The 21,505-nt window shown below is 37.8% G+C and overlaps 1 protein-coding gene across 16 annotated transcripts in view, besides 1 other annotated feature; it reads right to left on the bottom strand.

The window, feature by feature from the left end:
* The window catches only part of RANBP17 (RAN binding protein 17), a 437,998-nt gene that overhangs the window by 186,515 nt on the left and 229,978 nt on the right, over nucleotides 1–21,505 (bottom strand). The gene's annotated exons all lie outside the window — the stretch shown is intronic.
* Nucleotides 9,253–10,081: an enhancer, noted in NCBI's record as "NANOG-H3K27ac-H3K4me1 hESC enhancer chr5:170530424-170531252 (GRCh37/hg19 assembly coordinates)". NCBI's record gives its function as "activates a minimal SCP1, AML or CMV promoter by ChIP-STARR-seq in primed H9 embryonic stem cells {active_cell/tissue: H9 hESC(primed)}" and the evidence as "EXISTENCE:reporter gene assay evidence [ECO:0000049][PMID:30033119]".

Genomic DNA, 21,505 nt, shown 5'->3' with positions numbered 1-21,505 from the left:
TAATACGACAGCTAAGATTAAAATATCTATTACATTATAAGAGTTAATGGTATTTGTCTGGAGCATGTCTGTTCCATGTCTGGAACATAGGAGGTACTAAAATTTTTGTCAGTAAATGAATGAGTTAATGGATGAATGGCTGTTCACACACAATGACTGCATTCCCATCCCAAGAGTAATATAATTTTTCTCTATTTGTAAGTTGTAGTAGCACGGGTAATAATTGCCAAGAATGCTCAAATCTAAACAAATTAACCATTGGTAGTTTAGTAGGCAGGGAAAAGATGTGTGATCACATGAAGGGCAGATGATGTGACAGTGACTATTTCAGCAGGAGATTGTTTAGTGATACATCTTCAGATAGATTTGCAACCTGCAGTTTGGGTGGGTTCCCTGATTACAATTATGCTGTACACATGCTATATGGGGAAGCAGGAAGAAAGAAAGAAAACCAGCTTTTATTAAGTATCTACTCTATGCCAGACATGATTCTGAAGTAGGGATTTTTATCCCCAAGTTTTAAAGGGGAAGCCAAGACTCTGGCAACTTATATAACTTTGCTTGTGGGCATAGAGCTAATACTTGACAAAGCCAAGAAGGCCCTGGATTTTTCCTACTTTGTTTCTTGCACTATCTCTAAAATTTTTTTATAGAGCTTTGTTTAATTCCTCACAAATTATATATCTTAATAAATGTTTACAGGATAAAAATGGCAGATTGTGTCCCAACAAAAAAGGCAGATACTTAAAAGGAAAGTAAGATTATACCATGGAAACAAAGGATATTATGCTGCAAGCAGGTCATTGTTACCACAAGCAGACAATACTATTTGGTTATAAGAACTCTTTAAGAGAAGTTAAGACAAAATCACCTCTTGTTCTGCTGTTCCTTTACCAGATCCGTCAATCAGTGTTTCCTTTTTCATGAGTCTGGTGACAGTCTATAAACCTCCTTTTAAAGAGTTCATATAGCCAAAATAGTATTGTCTGTCTGTGGTGACAATGACCTGCTTGCTGCATAATATCCTTTGTTTCCATGGTATAATCTTACTTTCAAGTATTTACCTTTTTTTTGTTTGTTTGGACACAATATGCCATTTTTATCCTACAAACATTTATTGAAGATATAAAATTTTCAAGGAATTAAACAATATTTTACAGATAGTGTAAAATTTTACACTGAAAAAAATTTTACAGATAGTGCAAGAAACAAAGTAGGAAAAATCCAGGCCCTTCTTGGCTTTGTCAAGTATTAACTCTATGCCCACAAGCAAAGTTATATTGAGGACAACTGTTATCCCTGCTCACCAAGCATTAACTAACTCTTCTGACTCCATGTATCCACCATGGCTCACAATCATGAACAGAAGTAAGAACAATAAATAAAAAAACAAGTTATTAGGAGAATAATGATAGTTGTGATGGTGAGGACAAGATGACTTTGCTATGTATAATAAGAACAGAAGAATAACTAGCCATACATATTATTTTATAAAAACATTACCCATCACCTGTAATTTGCTATTTTTCCATCAAGTTTACTTTTTCATTCAGTGTTTCCTGGGTGTCTGCCATTTTTCTGGGCACTAGAGGCACAGAGATAAATAAGGCATGATCCCTAAGTATAAGTGGCTCATAACCTAAAGGGGACCAGAGACAAGGAAATAGACAATTACCATAAAGTATGATAAATTCTTTGATTGCTTTGTTCTATGTGTTAAGCCAATTTGGAGGAATACCTAATGCAGAGAAGAAATCACAGAAAGTTAGAGAGCATTCCAGAGAAAAGGAAGAGCATGTAGGAGGGCCCAAAAGTAGTGAAGGAGCACATCAAAGAGTTACAAATAATTCAGCAAAGCCAGTGAGAGGTGGAATGAATATAGCTCAGAACCCCTGTTTTGGGCTAGGTCTTGGAGGTCTGGGTTTCACTTTGAAAGAAATGGGGCTCACTGAAAGACTGACACTTCAGAGAGACTGCACTAACAGCTCTGTCTAGGATGTCTGGGAAGGGGAAAGCCAAGACTAGAATTAGGGGAACCCATTAAGAGGTAGATGGGAAATAAAGGTCTGAATTGTGGCAGAAGGGAAAAGAAAAAAGCAAAGGTTTTCAAAAGAACATAGGAAGATAAAGCATCCAGATGACTTCCACATCTTTCATTTTGTGACTGAGGTAAGAATGACATTCACTTAGCAAAAGGGAGAGAAGTCTGGGGAGAAGCTGAATGGTTATATCTTAGAAATGACTGAGTAAGAAAGATGAGTAGCAGAATATGCTACTCCAAAATATGCTACTTTGGCATAAAGAATATTTTGAGTTAACGGCACTGAAAAAACAGCAGATACAAGAAGAATACTCTGACCTTTCTTTTTCTTCCTGAAAGCAGATCAAACTCTCAAGTGAAAGAAACTCTCCCTGTACCAGTAGGAAGAAAACACATGGACAAAGGAAGGGGAATATCACACTCTGGGGACTGTGGTGGGGTGGGGGGAGAGGGGAGGGATAGCATTGGGAGATATACCTAATGCTAGATGACGAGTTAGTGGGTGCAGTGCACCAGCATGGCACATGTATACATATGTAACTAACCTGCACAATGTGCACATGTACCCTAAAACTTAAAGTATAATAAAAAAAAAATTAAAAAAAAAAAAGACATTCTTATTACCAGAGAGGGGAGTCCAGGTAGAGAAAAATCTATAAAGAGACTCTGTTAAACTAACCTTTATCTTCCTAGTGACTTTTCCAAAATGAACTTCCCTGTCTCATCACGTTTCTACAATTTAATACTCTATATCTAACCTAGTATATAACCTTTTGGCCCTGTTCTTTTTGATCTTCATTTTTCTTGTCAAGGCTCCTGTATACATGTAAAAGTTATTAAGTAAAATTTGTATGCTTTTCCCTTGGTAATCTGTCTTTTGGTAGTATAATGTACAGGGCCACAGTTGGAAAATGTAGAAGGAGTAGAGGGAAAAGTTTTTGCCTCCCCTATAAAGCTCATGAGACATACAGATGGAGACACAGAGAAGGAAGATAGATATGACGGCTAAAGGGCTAGTGAACGGTGAGCAGTAAACCAACAGGCTGTGCACTATGCTACAACACTAGAAGGGCTATGCTCAGAAGAGAGCGGACAAGGTTACAGCACTCACAGCATTATGTGATTATGTGTTTACTTAAACTCCAAATATATTATTATTAATATATAATTAATCTTCATATCAATCCTATAAGATAGGTTCTTGTACCCATTCTACAAATGAGGAAACCGAAGCCTAAGAGTATAAATATTTGTCCAATGTCACAGAGCCACAGAGCCAGGAAGTAACAGAGTTGGAATCTGAACCAGGCAGTCAGGCCTTACACACTATGCTATGATGATACTGATAAACATATCAGAAAAAAAAATTTTATATGATAAAATATATAAATAAGAAAAAAGACATAATACTACCACTTCTAAGTGACCACTGTTTACATTTTAGTATACTTCCTTCCAGTCTTTCTCAATAACCCTCATCTCACCCCTAAATATGCAATTTTCTAACCTGCTTTTTAACTTTTAAGGTAACAGTTTCCCAAGTTATTAAAACTCTATCCTATCATCATGTTAATACCTATAATATTTCTTCAAAGTGATGTACACAATATACTCAACCAATGCCTTAGTGTTGGATATTCATGTTCTCAATTTCTCACTATACAGTTGGACCTTCTATAGATTCAACCAATCGCAGATTGAAAATATGGGGAAAAATGGATGGTTGCAACCGTACTGAACATATATGGACTTTCTCTTTGTCATGATTCCCTAAACAATATAGTATAACAAGTATTTACGTAGCATTTACATTGTATTAGTTATTATAAATAATTTAGAGATGATTTAAAGTATGTGAGAGGATGTGCACTAGTTAAATGTAAATACTACACCATTCTATATAAGTGACCAAAGCATCCATGGATTTTGGTATCTGTGGGGTGTCTTGGAACCAATCCTACACAGATACTGAGGGACGACTGTCATTTCAAAACAATATGCATAGTCAAATTACAATTAAAACTTCAATAAATAAAACCTCAGTGCAACTTTTTTCTAGAAATAACTTCTAAGGCATATTTGATTTTAATAAAACATTATTTCTAAAACTAATAGGGTAAGTTAACAGAATAAACAACTATAGCTTAAAAACAAACAGCTGCTTAGTTTGAGCAGTTATCTTTAAACTATAATAGATAATTTGAAATTCATAAAAAAGGCAAATTTCCTACTTAACCGCAAATATAATACATTGATGTGTTAATATAAAAATGTGGCCGAGTGGATTAAGGTCTACATATTCCATATTTTAAAAATTTGTATTTTTCCAAGGCATTTTTGACCTGTATACCGTTTTCTGTGTCACACAGCCATGCATTATCACATGGGCTTGTGGTAACCAGACATATTCATTTTTCCTTTTATTTCTTATAGAGTTACCAGTGATGTGTATACCTGTGTGATCAGCTTCAGTAGTTTTGGTTTGGGATAGGGGCTCCTCAAGTGGCAGAGAAAATTCTGTCCATTGGTATATTGTTTTTGTTTTTTAATAAAGTTTGCCAGAACAACAACAACAAAAAAGGCAAACTTCCCTTCATTTGGACTGGCAATTAATATTTTCAGTTTTACCTGATTAACAAACATTCTAGCAAGTTTTTCCAAAAAAGCAAAATTCAGTCAGCCATTTTTCTGATACTATTTTATTTGAGTGAAATACTGTATAGAAAAAGAAGACACAAAAATTTTAACATCTGGGGGTGGTGGCTCATGCATGTAATTCCAGCATTTTTGGAAGCAGAGGTGGGTGGATCACTTGAGTTCAGGAGTTTGAGACCAGCTGGACATCATACGGAGTCTCCATCTTTACAAAATATAAAAAAATCATCAGGGCGTGGTGATGCACGGCTGTGGTCCCAGCTGTTTGGGAGGGTAAGGTAGGAGGACGGCTTGAACCGAGGAGTTTGAGGCTGCAGTGAGCTGTGTTTGTACCACTGCACTCCAGCCTGGGTGACAGAGTGAGACCTCGTCTCAAAATAAATAAATAAATAAAATACATGATTTCACTTGAACTTTAATTTTTTAGACTTATTTTTAAAGTATGTTGATATGCTATGTGTGAGTTTTTTTCTAGTAAAATTTGACATATGTAACTCTAAAAGTCCCCTTATTAGTTGCACTGCTTCATACATAGGAAACTGAAAAACAATACTGAAAATTAAGACCCTCCCCCACCTCAAGAAAAAACCTGAACAACAGCTGTTGCTTATAGAACTGTTTGGCAAATAATCTCTTTCCAAAAGCAAAAAACAAAATTATTTGTTATGACATTTCTATTTGTCAAGCACACAACAGGCAGATGAGTAAATTATAATATCTATCACCAATAAGCCTTCTTTGAATATCAATCGACTCTAACCATAATTGATAACCTAAGCCAATAGAACATTCTGCTACAATTCCAAGTTCAAAAGGTTAATTATGGCCTGGCCACAGGCTCATCCAGAAACCTGAAACTGATTGCTCTGTGCCTTCCTAATGAAGATGTACGGCATGTATTATAGGAGCATAGTGGTAAATGATTGGGACCTCCAACATCAATGCAGCAAGCACGCATTAACCTTCACCATATCAATTTAACTGTCATTCTCACAGTTTATATCCTAGAAGGTCTTTTTATTCCATGACAAAGAAAGCGTCTGATAACCATATTTCCCTTGTAAGGCAAGATTTCCCTTTTCATTCTAATAAATATAGAAATCAATAATAGTAAGTGAATTCAAACTATGTTATGAATTAACAACACCCAGGAAAGTTAAGAAGAGACTAGAGTCATGATGGGTGTTCTCATTTGTCACCAAAATCTTTAATTTGCATGTAGATTTACTGCCCTAGCACAGAGGGCATGAGAAAAGTATCAGCATCTTTTCCTTCTTAGAGGCACTTACACTGCTTGCTTTCTTACTCACAGGCCAAGAAAAAAAAAATGGCAGGCTGAACTATAAGCATCCACTCACAAATAAGAGCAATTTAACAAACTTTGTTGCTTGCACTCAATACTCACTGCCAGTCTGAGGAAGAACAGGAACTAGGGATGCTCTAGAACAGAGTCGTAGGGACTAAGATCTTCAATATAGTATAGTTCTGAACATATCATGTGATACTAACTAGCAACAAACTAATTCCTTTGATACCAGGCAACAGAGAAGAAGAGCAGTGTAATAAAATGAGTACTAGAATGTGAGGCTGACCATGTAAAGGCTGTGTTCTTTACTGTCTGTGTGGCCTTTTAACAAACCACATAGCCCTTCTGTTTTTCTCCTGTAAAATGAGAATAATAATTCCTGCTTTGTCTATCTTATAAAATAAAAGCTTTCAACCATGGCTACACACCATAAACATGTTGAACTCCAAAACAACAACAACAACAACAAACAAACAAAAGATACGTGGGTCCTAAACCCCAAGAAATTTTGACCTAATTGGTTTAGGATGGGGCCCAAGTATGAGTATCTTTTGATGGCTGTTCAGAAAAAATTCTAATTTTACTTTTTAAACTTTTAGTTATGTAAATGCTCAAACATATACAAACATAATGGAAATATATTACCAAGTGTCAGTGATTAGCAATATTTTGCAAATCTTACATCATCTATTTCCCCACCCCCAAACATTAAAAAAAATTTCCATTGGGACATTTTACAGCAAATCCACAGTGTTATTTTTACAAAACTTCCTCGTGTGATTATATTGTAAAACCAGTATTGAGAACCATGTGAAGATTTTGAAAAAATTTTTCCAAGTTACAAAGTTAACAATAAAGACAAATCGATGCCCAAATGGATTATCAGGCTCCAAGTCTGACTTGATTGACCAAGTCAACAGAATAAAATATTTAGTTTAATGAATACTACTTCCATCATTTTCCTCCTCTGAACTGACTAGTTTCTTCACAAAACAGACCCTCTAACTGGTGGGCTATATAGTGCAAAAAAGTTACATCTAGAAAAATCTCATTCTTCTCTAACACCCAGTATTCTCATTCTATTCCCCTATCTTATAGTTCCTCAAACATGTTGCTCTCACAACCTGGAAAAATTTACCCCCTTCCCCTCCTACCTTCCATCTACCTAGCCAACTCCCACTTCATCTTCAAGGCCCAGAATAGATATCAATATTGTGAAGACTTCTGATTCCTCTCTCCTGTCTGTCCTACCTTCCCCAAGCCTGAGGAAAGTACTCCTCTTAAGGGCTGCTGTAACCTTGTGTTTACCTCAGTCACAGTACTGTTTTTTGTCAGTCTCACCAATGAGTACAGGATTCTTAAACGTAGTGGTTATTTCACAATGGATCTATTCCACCATGGTCACCCAATTTATGAATATTTCCATTTTCAAAATTGTATGTCAGTCACTTTCTCTAGGAAACAAATTAGGTTTGCACAACAATTTGCTTACCCAGCTTACTAATGTGTAGAACAATTTACCCCTTGCAGTGCACATCAATTGATGGCCTAAAGCAACAATCAGGGGTGACTGCTTCTCTGACAAAAAACAAATAAAGGTAAGAATGTATAATAAATCCTAATCATATTTTTTTCCAACAATATCCCCACAACCTCAGAATGGTCTGCTGCAGAGAACCTTGGTTTCTGTATCAGACTAATGTCTAAAAAAACTGATTCTAAAAATATAGGCTTTTGCAAGTCAAAGATATAAGATAGAATAAATTTTTTTTTTTCTTTTTGAGACAAGTTCTCACTCTGTCACCCAGGCTGGAGTACAGTGGTGTGATCACAGTTCACTGGAACTTCAAACTCCTGGGCTCAAGTGATTCTCTTATTTCAGCCTCTTAAGTAGCCAGTACTACAGGGTGTGTGCCACCATACCCACTCAGCTAATCTTTTAAAAATATATGTATATATATTTTTGTAAAGACAGGTTTTTGCTATGTTCCCTGGGCTGGTCTTGAACTCTGGGCTTAAGTGATCCTCCTGCCACAGCCTCCCAAAGTGTTGGGGATTACAGGTGTGAGCCACCATGCCAGTCCCAGGAAAATTTTTTTTTTTTTTTTTTTTTTTTTGAGACGGAGTCTCGCTCTGTCGCCCAGGCTGGAGTGCAGTGGCGGGATCTCGGCTCACTGCAAGCTCCGCCTCCCGGGTTCACGCCATTCTCCTGCCTCAGCCTCCCAAGTAGCTGGGACTACAGGCGCCCGCCACTACGCCCGGCTAATTTTTTGTATTTTTAGTAGAGACGGGGTTTCACCGTTTTAGCCGGGATGGTCTCGATCTCCTGACCTCGTGATCTGCCCGCCTTGGCCTCCCAAAGTGCTGGGATTACAGGCGTGAGCCACCGCGCCCGGCTGGAAAATTTTTTAAATAAAGAAAATTGTTTTATCCTCTCCAAAAGTTTTAATTTAAAGGTACTCACAACATGCTAAGAAGCAAATTTTATCAACGTACAATATGTAATAAAGGCCATCATTTATATAAATACACTCCCTGTGATTATTTCCCAATGACTTTTCCTTGGTGTAGGGGACCAATGGAAAAATTAAATCACTATATTCAAAGTTGATAATAATATTTGTAATAGCAATGACAACATCATCAACAGAAACATCCAATTTTAACTAACTCTTAACAAGCATCTTCTATATGCGAGTTATTGAGCTAAGCATATTATCTCTATCCTCACATTAGACCTATAAGGTAAGTATTATTATTCCCATTTTATGGCAAAAGTGAAGCTTAGAGAGGTTCTTTAGACAAAAGAAATTTGCCTAAAGAAAAAGAGCCAGTTAGTAGCATGACTGAGACTAAGTTTGTCTAACTACTTAGTTCAAGCTCTTGACCACTATCATTATTCAAAAGCAAAGATAATGCTCCTAACAGGTCATTTCTGTTCTGTGGAAAATAGTTCAGAGGTATAACTGTTACTCAACCATTGATGTAATGTGGCAATGAAGCAGAAGTAAAAAGGCAACATTCTGGATAGTCTTATATTTCACCCTCTACATGAAAACTATTTTGACTATTGCATTTATGTTCTCTTTCTGAGTGAATGAATTGCAGGGTGCTGAAAAATCAAGTTCATAACTGACATATGTAAGATAATTAAAGAGGACAGGCCAGGCGCGGTGGCTCACCCCTGTAATCCCAGCACTTTGGGAAGCTGAGGCGGGCGGATCACCTGAGGTTGGGTGTTCGAGACCAGCCTGACCAACATGGAGAAATCCTGTCTCTACTGAAAATACAAAATTAGCCGGGCCTGGTGGTGCATGCCTGTAACCCCAGCTACTCGAAAGGCTGAGGCAGCAGAATCACTTGAACCCAGGAGGTGGAGGTTTCAGTGAGCCGAGATTGTGCCATTGCACTTCAGCCTGGGCAAAAACAGCAAAACTCCAACTCATTAAGAACACAACAAACAAACAAACAAAAAGCTCCCAGCGAGGCCAACACAGAATGCAGGTGATTTCTGCATTTCCGGCTGAGGTACCTGGCTCATCTCATTGGGACTGGTTAGACAGTGGGTACAGTCCACAGAGGGCGAGCCGAAGAAGGGTGGGTGGGGCACCACCTCACCCAGGAAGTGCAAGGGGTTGGGGACCTCCGTCGCCTAGCCAAGGGAAGCCCTGAGGAACTGTGCCTTGAGGAACGGTGCACTCCAGCCCAGATACTACGATTTTCCAGTCTTTGCAACCCACAGACCAGGAGATTCTCTCGGGTGCCTACACCACCAGGGCCCTGCGTTTCAAGCACAAAACTGGGTGGCCATTTGAGCAGACACCTAGCTAGCTGCAGGGTTTTTTTTTTCATACCCCACTGGCACCTGGAACGCCAGTGAGACAGAATCATTCACTCCCCTGGAAAGGGGGCTGAAGTGAGAGAGCCAAGTAGTGTAGCTTAGCAGATCTCACCCCCACGGAGCCTAGCAAGCTAAGATCCCCTGGCTTGAAAATCTCGCTGCCAGCACAGCAGTCTGAAGTCGACCTGGGATGCTTGAGCTTTGTGGGGGGAGGGGAATCCACCATTACCAAGGCTTGAGTAGGCAGTTTTCCCCTTACAGTGTAAACAAAGCTGCCAGGAATTTTGAACTGGGTGGAATCCACTGCAGCTAGGCAAAGTCGCTGTAGCCAGACTGCCTCTCCAGATTCCTCCTCTCTGGGCAGGGCATCTCTAAAAGAAGGGCAGCAGCCCCAGTCAGGGGCTTATAGATAAAGTTCCCATCTCCCTGGGACAGAGCACCTGGGGGAAGGGGTGGCTGTGGGTGCAGCTTCAGCAGACTTAAATGTGCCCGCCTGCCGGCTTGGAAGAGAGCAGCAGATCTCTCAGCACAGCGCTAGAGCTCTGATAAGGGACAGACTGTCTCCTCAAGTGGGTCCCTGACCCCTGAGCCTCCAGACTGAGAGACACCTCCCAGCAGGGGTCGACAGACACCTCATGCAGGAGAGCTCCGGCTCGCATCTGGCCGGTACCCCTCTGGGATGAAGCTTCCAGAGGAACAAACAGGCAGCAATCTTTGCTGTTGTGTAGCCTCTGCTGGTGATACCCAGGCAAACAGGGTCTGGTGTGGGCCCCCAGCAAACTCCAGCAGACCTGCAGCAGAGGGGTCTGACTGTTAGAAGGAAAACTAACAAACAGAAAGCAATAGCATCAACATAAAAAAAAAAGGACAACGAAGCAAAAACTCCATCCGAAGGTCACCAACATCGAAGACCAAAGGTAGACAAATCCACGAAGATGAGGAAAAAAACAGCACAAAAAGGCTGAAAATGCCAAAAACCTGAATGCCTCTTCTCTTCCAAAGGATCACAACTCCTTGCCAGCAAAGGAACTAAATTGGACAGAGAATTAGTTTGACGAATTGATAGAAGGAGGCTTCAGAAAGTGCGTAATAACAAACTCCTCTGAGCTCAAGAAGCATGTTCTAACCCAATGCAAGGAAGCTAAGAACTTCAATAAAAGGTTAGAGGAATTGCTAACTAGAATAACTAGATTAGAGAAGAACATAAATGACCTGATGGAGCTGAAAAAAACAGCACGAGAAGTTTGTGAAGCATACACAAGTATCAATAGCCAAATCAATCAAGCGGAAGAAAGGATATCAGAGACTGAAGATCAACTTAATCAAGTAAAGTGTAAAGACAAGATTAGAGAAAACAGAATGAAAAAGAATGAACAAAGCCTCCAAGAAATATGGGACTATGTGAAAAGACCAAACCTACATTTGCTTGGGGTACTGGAAAGTGACGGGAAGAATGGAACCAAGTTGGAAAACACACTTCAGGATATTATCCAGGAGAACTTCCCCAACCTAGCAAGACAGGCCAACGTTCAAGTTCAGAAAATACAGAGAAAACCACAAAGATACTCCTTGAGAAGAGCAACCCCAAGACACATAATCATCAGATTCTCCAAGGTTGAAATGAAGGAAAAAATGTTAAGGGCAGACAGAGAGAAAGGTTGGGTTACCCACAAAGGGAAGCCCATCAGGCTAACAGTGGATCTCTGCAGAAACCCTACAAGCCAGAAGAGAGTGGGGGCCAACATTCAACATTCTTCAAGAAAAGAATTTTCAAGCCAGAATTTCATATCCAGCCAAACTAAGCTTCATAAGTAAAGGAGAAATAAAATTCTTTACAGACAAGCAAATATTGAGGGATTCTGTCACCACTAGGCCTGCCTTACAAGAACTCCTGAAGGAAACACTAAATATGGAAAGGAACAACCAGTACTAGCCACTGCAAAAACAAATCAAAATGTAAAGACCACTGACATTGAAGAAACTGCATCAACTAATGGGCAAAATAACCAGCTAGCATCATAATGACAGGATCATATTCACACATAACAATATTAACCTTAAATGTAAATGGGTTAAATGCCCAAATTAAAAGTCACAGACGGAAAACTGGATAGAGTCAAGACCCATCAGTGTGCTGTATTCAGGAGACCCATCTCACATGCAAAGACACACATAGGCTCAAAATAAAGGGATGGGAGAAGCTTTACCAAGCAAATGGAAAGCAAAAAAAGAGCAGGGGTTGCAATCTTCGCCCTTGATAAAACAGACTTTAAATCAACAAAGATCAACAAAGACAAAGAAGTGCATCACATAATAATAAAGGCATCAATGCAACAAGGAGAGCTAACTATCTTAAATATATATGCACCCAATACAGGAGCACCCAGATTCATAAAGCAAGTTCTGAAAGGCCTAAAAAGAGACTTAGACTCCCACACAATAATAATGGGAGACTTTAACACTCCACTGTCAATATTAGACAGATCGAGACAGAAAATTAGCAAGGATATTCAGGACTTGAACTCAGCTCTGGACCATGCAGACCTAATAGATAGCTACAGAACTCTCCACCCCAAATCAACAGAATATACATTCTTCTCAGCATCACATCACACTTATTCTAAAATTGATCACATAATTGGAAGTAAAACACTCCTCAGCAAATGCAAAAGAACAGAAATCATAACAAATGGTCTCTCTGAACACAGTGCAATCAAATTAAAACTCAGGATTAAGAAACTCACTCAAAACTGCACAACTACATGGAAACTGAACAACCTGCTCCTGAATGACTACTGGGTAAATAACGAAATTAAGGCAGAAATAAGTAAGTTCTTTGAAACCAGTGAGAACAAAGACGCAACGTCCCAGAATCTCTGGGACACAGCTAACGCAGTGTTTAGAGGGAAATTTATAGCACTAAATGCCCACAGGAGAAACCTAGAAAGATCTAAAATTGATACCCTAACATCACAATTAAAAGAACTAGAGAAGCAAGAGCAAACAAATTCAAAAGCTAGCAGAAGACAAGAAATAACTAAGATCAGAGCAGAACTGAAGGAGATAGAGACACAAAAAACACTTCAAAAGAAATCAATGAATCCAGGAGCTGGTTTTTGGAAAAGATTGACAAAATAGATAGACTGCTAGCCAGATTAATGAAGAAAAGAAAGAAGAATCAAATAGACACAATAAAAAATGATAAAGGGGATATCACCACTGATCCCACAGAAATACAATCAACCATCAGATAATACTATAAACACCTGTATGCAAATAAACTAGAAAATCTAGAAGAAATGGATAAATTCCTGGACACATACAACTTCCCAAGACTAAACCAGGAATAAGTCAAATCCCTGAATAGACCAGTAACAAGTTCTGAAATTGAGGCAGTAATAGCCTATCAACCAAAAAAAGCCCAGGACCAGACAAATTCACAGCCAAATTCTACCAGAGGTACAAAAAGGAGCTGGTACCATTCCTTCTGAAACGATTCCAAACAATAGAAAAAGAGGGACTGCTCCCTAACTCATTTTATGAGGCCAGCATCATCCTGATACCAAAACCTGGCAGAGACACAACAAAAAAATAAAATTTCAGGCCAATAACCCTGATGAACATCGATGCGAAAAATCCTCAATAGAATACTGGCAAACTGAATCCAGCAAAACATTAAAAAGCTTATCTACCACGATCAAGTCAGCTTCATCCATGGGAAGCAAGGCTGGTTCAACATATGCAAATCAGTAAACGTAATCCATCACATAAACAGAACCAATGACAAAAACCACATGATTATCTCAATAGACGCAGAAAAAGCCTTTGATAAAATTCAACACCCCTTCATGCTAAAAACACTCAATAAATTAGGAACTGACGGAACATATCTCAAAATAGTAAGAGCTATTTATGACAAACCCACAGCCAATATCATACTGAATGGGCAAAAACTGGAAGCATTCCCTTTGAAAACTGGCACAAGAAAAGGATGCCCTCTCTCACCACTCCTACTCAACACAGTGTTGGAAGTTCTGGCCAGGGCAACCAGGCAAGAGAAAGAAATAAGGGGTATTCAAATAGGAAGAGAGGAAGTTAAATTATCTTTGTTTGCAGATGACATGATTGTATATTTAGAAAACCCCAACATCTCAGCCCAAAATCTCCTTAAGCCAAAAAGCAACGTCAACAAAGTCTCAGGATATAAAATCAACGTGCGAAAATCACGAGCATTCCTATACACCAATATCAGCCAAATCATGAGCAAACTCCCATTCACAATTGCTCCAAAGAGAATAAAATACCTAGGAATACAACTTACAAGGGATGTGAAGGACCTCTTCAAGGAGAACTACAAACCACTGCTCAAGGAAATAAGAGACAACACAAAAAAATGGAAAAACATCCCATGCTCATGGATAGGAAGAACCAATATTGTGAAAATGACCATACTGCCCAAAGTAATTTATAGATTCAATGTTATTCCCATCAAACTACCATTGACTTTCTTCACAGAATTAGGAAACAACTACTTTAAATTTCATATGGAACCAAAAAAGAGCCCGTATAGCCATGACAATCCTAAGCAAAAAGAACAAAGCTGGAGGCATCATGCTACCTGACTTCAAACTATACTGCAAGGCTACTGTAACCAAAACAGGATGGTACTGGTACCAAAACAGATATATAGACCAAATGGAACAGAACAGAGCCCTCAGAAATAACACATCTACAACCATCTGATTTTTAACAAACCTGCCAAAAACAAGCAATGGGGAAAGAATTCCCTATTTAAGAAACGGGGTTGCAGAAAACTGAAACTGGACCCCTTCCTTACACCTTATACAAAAATTAACTCAAGATGGATTAAAGATTTAAACATAAGACCTAAAAGCATAAAAACCCTAGAAGAAAACCTAGGCAATACCATTCAGGACACAGGCATGGGTGATAACTTCATGACTAAAACACCAAAAGCAATTGCAACAAAAGCCAAAATTGACAAATGGGATTTAATTAAACTAAAGAGCTTCTGCACAGCAAAAGAAACTATCATCAGAGTGAACAGGCAACCTACAGAATGGGAGAAAATTTTTGCAATCTATCCATCTGACAAAGGGCTAATATCCAGAATCTACAAAGAACTTAAACAAATTTACAAGAAAAAAATGAACAACGCTATCAAAAAATGGGCAAAGGATATGAACAGACACTTCTCAAAAGAAGAAATTTATGTGGCCAACAAATATATGAAAAACAGCTCATCATTGCTGGTCATTAGAGAAATTCAAATCAAAACCACAATGAGATACCATCTCATGCCAGTTAGAATGGCCATCATTACAAAGTCATGAAACAACAGATGCTGGAGAGGATGTGAAAAAATAGAAACGCTTTTATAATGTTAGTGAGAGTGTAAATTAATTCAACCATTGTGGAAGACAGTGTGGCAATTCCTCAAGGATCTAGAATCAGAAATACCATTTGACCCAGCAATCCTATTACTGGGTATATACCCAAAGGATTATAAATCATTCTAGTATAAGGACACATGCATACGTATGTTTATTGCAGCACTATTCACAATAGCAGAGACTTGGAACCAACCCAAATGCCCATCAATGATAGACTGGATAAAGCAAATGTGGCACATATACACCATGGAATACTATTCAGCCATAAAAAAGGATGAGTTCATATCCTTTGCAGGGACATGGATGAAGCTGGAAACCATCATTCTCAGCAAACTAACACAGAAACAGAAAACCAAACACCACATGTTCTCACTCATAAGTGGGAGGTGAAAAATGAGAACACATGGACACAGGGAGGGGAACATCACACACTGGGGCCTGTTGGGGAGTGTGGGGCAAGGGGAGGGATAGCATTAGAAGAAATACCTAATGTAGATGACTGGTTGATGGGTGCAGCAAACCACCATGGCACATGTATACCTATGTAATAAACCTACATGTTCTGCACATGTATCCCAGAACTTAAAGTATAATAATAATAATAATAATAATAATAATAATAATAATAATAATAAAAAGACTACATACAGGTTAAGGTTTTGCCGCTTAGTAGCTATGGGACTATTGATAGACTTAATTTCTTAGACACCCATTTCATTTTCTCTAAAATGAGGACAATAATTTACAGACTTGTTTACTCATTCACTGTGTATCTAACTGTATACACTTATTAAACGTACAGTTAATTAGAGAGATTACATAGATGAAGACCCAAAGCTGTGCTCCAAGGAGCTTATGGTCTAACAGCCCTTTCTGAAGATTAAATTACATATTAACATCTAGAATTTGATACATAAGAAGCACTCAGTGACCACTATTTGCTTTCCAACTTCTCCTGTGTTTTCTCAATGAGATTATTAGATGAAAAATTATAGGGATATGGTATTCTAAATTTTTATAAATCTAACAGATACCTTGACTAAAGGAAGGGACAAGCTAAAGAGAGACACTAAAAATGGAGGTAACATGACTCAAATTTCTTCCCTCCACTACTTACTCATAGCCTGGAACAATTTCTGCATTAGATTTAGAAAATCGAGGGAAAATTCTTACAACCTCCTTGAAGAAGAAATAAAATCTTTTTGTAAAACATAAGTATAAAAAACACAAATTCAAGAATCACAAACTTTAGTTACATGGTCACAATCAACACTGAATAACTTCAACCAAAACCATTATAATCCTTCTTGTACTAAAGATGATTTTCTTAAAGTTCTACCATATACTTACAATTTTCTCTAAGATCTTAGAAACATCCCTCCACCCCTTCTTCACAGAGTTTTGTTGTTGTTGTTGATAAAGTAGGCTTTAAAGTACATACCAGATCTTCAGAAAAGTTAATAAGAACCAGCTCCTTCTTTACATACAGATATAAAAAATTCAGGCCCTATCCTGGTTACATTATTATTTCCCTAAATTTATTCTTTCTCTGTAAGTTTCAACATTTCCCCCAAATTCTCAAAGTCAAGCTAATTTGTAATTTATTATCCTAATCTTTTTCTCTTACCCTTTGGTAGGCAGTATCTCTTTAGATCTACTGTGTATTACAGTTGTTTTAAAAATCAGTCTTTGCCAACAACAATCAAATTTGCACATTTTATTCCTTCTATGAAGATGTGCTACCTAAATATTTACTGCCTATGTAGCAAATGAATTCAACATTCTTACAAAGCATTTCTCCTCGGATTTCCTCTCACTTCACTTCTATCACCAATAACATATTCAATTCAATGACTTCATTAGTGACTTTTGCTTCAAATCCTTTTTGGAAGACAGACAACAATAAGTTAATAAGTATGATATGGCAACACAGTCTCTTTCCTTAAAGGATTACTTGGTCACTAACACTTTAAAATCATGAAGTATATAATGCTTTGATGATAGACACATTATTTTTATATGTGTTTCACATTACAGTTGACCTTTCAATAATGCAGGTTTGAACTGTGCGGGTCCACTTATATGCAGATATTTGTCAATAAAAGTTACATCAAATGTGCCTGCCACTTCTTCCTCCCCTTCCACCTTCTCGGCTTACTCCTTCTGCCTCTGTCACCTCTGAGACACTAAGACCAGCCCCTTCCCCTCCTCCAGCATCCTTGACATGAAGATGATGAGAATAAAGACCTTTGTGATGACCCACTTCCTCTAAATGAATAGTAAATATATTTTCTCTTCATGATTTTTCCCCTACCTTCCTTTATTTTAAGGGCATACATAGTACAAATACATACAACACTAAAATGTGTGTTAATTGTTCATTTTACTGGTAAGGCTTTCAGTCAACAGTAGGTTATTAGCAGGTAAGTTTTTGGGGAGTCTAAAGTTACGCTCAGATTTTTGACTGTGTGGGTGTGTCGGGGGGGTGTCAGTTCCCCTAACTCCTGTGTTGTTCAAGGGTGAACTATATTTCATCTGATCTTTATACAATCCACGGAAATAGAAAGCTCAGTTAATATGTCCATTTTGTACTGAAGAAAACTAAGGCCCAGAAAGCTTACAACCTTCCAAAGCTCACTGGACTACTATAACCATTCTGAATTTCCATTCATTTGTTTATCAGCATCAACAATGGAGTTCCTTTGGTAGGCTATAAATCTAATACAAGATTGAAAGAACTGTCCTTTCTTTTTATTTGATTTCTTTACCGTAGCCAGTAATGTCCTACATAAGTTCAACTCCAAGATAATAAAATAGAAAAGACTGACAACAGCCATATAAAGTCTATAGCCTATTTCTGTACCTGTTGTGATCCTCTCTTCTCCACAAACCAGTCTAAACATGATTAAAGTTGTCACAACAAGTACATCAAAGGATAGAGAGTAAAGACAAAAATATAGAGTAAAATAATATAAGATGGCATTACGAACTCTTCAGTGAGAGTGTATTTAGAATAAAATCTTAAAACTATCAGGAAAAAGTAAAATTAAATCAAATCATCACAAGTCTCTTAGTCCGTTTTCTGTTGCTATAACAGAATATCACAGACTAGTTAAGTTATAAAGAAAAGAAATTTATTTGGCTCACAGTTCTGGAGGCTGGCAAGTCCAAGAATATGGTACCAGCATCTGACAAGGGCCTCTGTGCTATGTTATAACATGTTGGAATAGCAAGCAAACACAGAGGGACCAAGAGAGAGGCACCAGGGATTGGACTTACTTTATTCAACCCAATCACCTCTTATTAGATCCCACCTCCTAACACTATTGCATTGGGATGAAGTTTCAAACACACAAACTTTGGGGGAACAAAGTCAAACCACAGCCAACAGGGAAAAGGAAAAAAGTAGGGACAGAATACTGAAAACTTGCCAATATGAATACATTAAGACTGGCAATTAGATAGCACAAAATGAACGCATTCCTCTTGGGAAAACTGCAGATACTACCATATAGCAAGATTAGCCAGACAGCAAACTCTTCCATAATTCCTTTACACGAAGAGAACGTACTTCTGAAAGATCAGAAGTAATGTTAGAAGACAAGCTTAGGTGGGAATAGTAAAAAGTTAAGAGCATTTCTACTTTCAGATGCATAGAGAGCTTCTATTGTTATTTAAAGGATGTGTTTCTAAGCAACAGGAAAATATTGCGAAGAGGATCCTCAAAGGACAAACCCACCTTAAATACACAGATCATTATATAAAAATAACAATGATAATAATGAGAAAAATTAAGGTTCAATTTATAGGAGCATTTTCAAAATGCCAGGCACTGGGCATTTTACTGACATAATCATCAATCTTCATAACTTTGCAACACAAATAGTATTGGCCTTATTTTTACTAAAGAAAATGTACTCTTAGAGTTGAGCTCATCTAGTGACTTGCCTAAGGCATTAAACCTCTCATCATGCAACACACACAATTAAAACACACACTAGTTGGCTGCCACCATTAGACCCTACCCCAATCTGATGACTGTTATCTTCCATTGAATAAAAAAGCACAAGGCCTCACAAAAGAGTTAGTTGGTGCTTTCATTCTTGGTCTGTTTCAGAACCTGAGTCTCCTTTTTAGGTAGGCATGTTTCCACAGAGCTAACAAATAACAAGATATACTGCATGCTGGTAAACTGTACTTTCAAGGAAACAAACTTCACTCCTTTACCACAGCTCTTCCTACCTAATGATTATTTTAAAAACTATGCACTCTTTAAAGTAAAATAACATTAGCTACCATTTATGGGGCAACTTACCAGGAGCCAGGCACTGTGTTCAGTATTTTACATTCATTACCTCAATTAATGGGAATCCAGGTCTATCTAATTACAAAGCCAGGGATCTTTCCAACTCATCATCTTGGCTCATATCCAGCTTTGATTTAGTCTGCATTACTCTATTGCCCAAAGCACTAAATTAGACTGATGCAGATAAAGGATTACTGCTATAAGTGAAAAAGTGTGTGATACATACATACTTAATCTGATTACTTTGCCAGACTGCATAAAACTAAACTGAAAATAACCAATAAATTTCTGTAGTCATTAAAAAATACAGAACTGTTTAGAGGTCATGAAAATTATACCAGTGATTGTGACTATATTTGTCTTTTGTCTCTGAAAATATAACAGTGACAATTGGCAGGTGCTTTTCCAGAAGCTTCCCTCTTACATAAGCTACCACATACAACGGGTTCTTGATTGTTTTTCTGGTAGAGAGGAATCATTACAAAGAAACTGATTTTTTTTTCATTAACAACTCAGCTATTATATCGTGTGTGATTCCTTATAATCATCAACTTAGTAAATGTAACTGATTGTCGTATATGTGCTAAGTAGTAGTAAACAGTGGAGGGACATAAATAAATAAAGTAGAGCTTTTAACCTCAAGTAGCTTACAGTCCACAAGAAACAAGATCATATATAAAACCTGTCCGTGATATGTATAAAAATGTCTATTTTTTTTTTTTGGGGGGAGACTGAGTTCCACTGCTATTGTCCAGTCTGGAGTGCAACGGTGTGATCCTGGCTCACTGGAACCTCTACCTCCTGGGTTCAAGCAATTCTCCGGCCTTAGCCTCCCAAGTAGCTGGGATTATGGGCTTAATAACAAATTTGGGGCACTAAAGCACAGCTGTGAGGACTTAGATGCTGGTAGAAAATTGGAGTGGCAGGAATTTGACTTTACAATACACTTGTCTTCCCACAAATTCACAGGCAGTGGCATAGACATTAAATATAGATGAGTGCTTTCCATAATATGCAACACAAACCAAACTAAATATTAGTGGACATCCATTAAATGCCGACTACAGAGTTTAAGGACTAGAGATCAAAGGTGAATAACAATTCTTCTCAGAACATAAGAAGCTCCTTGTAGTGCACAGGACAGGTTTCTTCATTACTATGGGGTGAATAACAACTGTGTTTCCTAGATTTTATTAGAAGCTGGAAGGACTTCATCAGAATGATCATGTCACTATCATATGAAAAAGATCTCTTAGGAAAAATAAGAATAGGTGACAAATACCATTAAGCTCTCCTGGTTGATAATTTCTCCAGATAGATAGAACCTTAGCAATAATCCAGTGTCAGCCCTCATTTTATAAATAAGACTTTAACAGGGTAAGGTCACCCAGGTAACTGGAGGCATAGTCTTATACCGGGTTTGTCCTAATGGTTGCAAGAGAAGTTTCAGTAGATCCTCTTTGTCTTAGTATATTATGCTGACACTATTATGAAAGGTGACTATATATTAGGGAAGTAAATATAACACAGAGCGTCACTCACAAACTGGGAACATTTTTGTTGTATGAGTCACTGCAACAGAATTTCTTTTTGTAGTCATAGATCAGTTTGGCCAAGTATTCTTAGATCTGTAACATAACTTGAAGTATCATTCAATATATTATTAGGGGTTCACTAAATGCCAAATGGTAACCATAAGAATTAGATATCAAAGGCAAATAAGAATTCTCAGAAAGGAAATTTTTTTCCTTTGTTTTACTGCAATTTCTTAAGTATTAAATCACATTTTCCTATTGACTTCAATAAATTTAAAGCATATCCTTGGGTTACTAGAATGAACCATTAAAGATCACTTCATCAAAATAAAATATTTAAACATAAAAACCTATAGTACAGTTGTCCCTCAGTGTATTCTGGGGATTGGTTCCAGGATCCCTCACAT

Source organism: Homo sapiens, chromosome 5 (assembly GCF_000001405.40).
Source record: "Homo sapiens chromosome 5, GRCh38.p14 Primary Assembly".
In the NCBI taxonomy this organism is placed as follows: Eukaryota; Metazoa; Chordata; class Mammalia; order Primates; family Hominidae; genus Homo; species Homo sapiens.
Note: the sequence above shows the minus strand (reverse complement) of the source record. Positions and strands in the feature narration are given on the sequence as shown.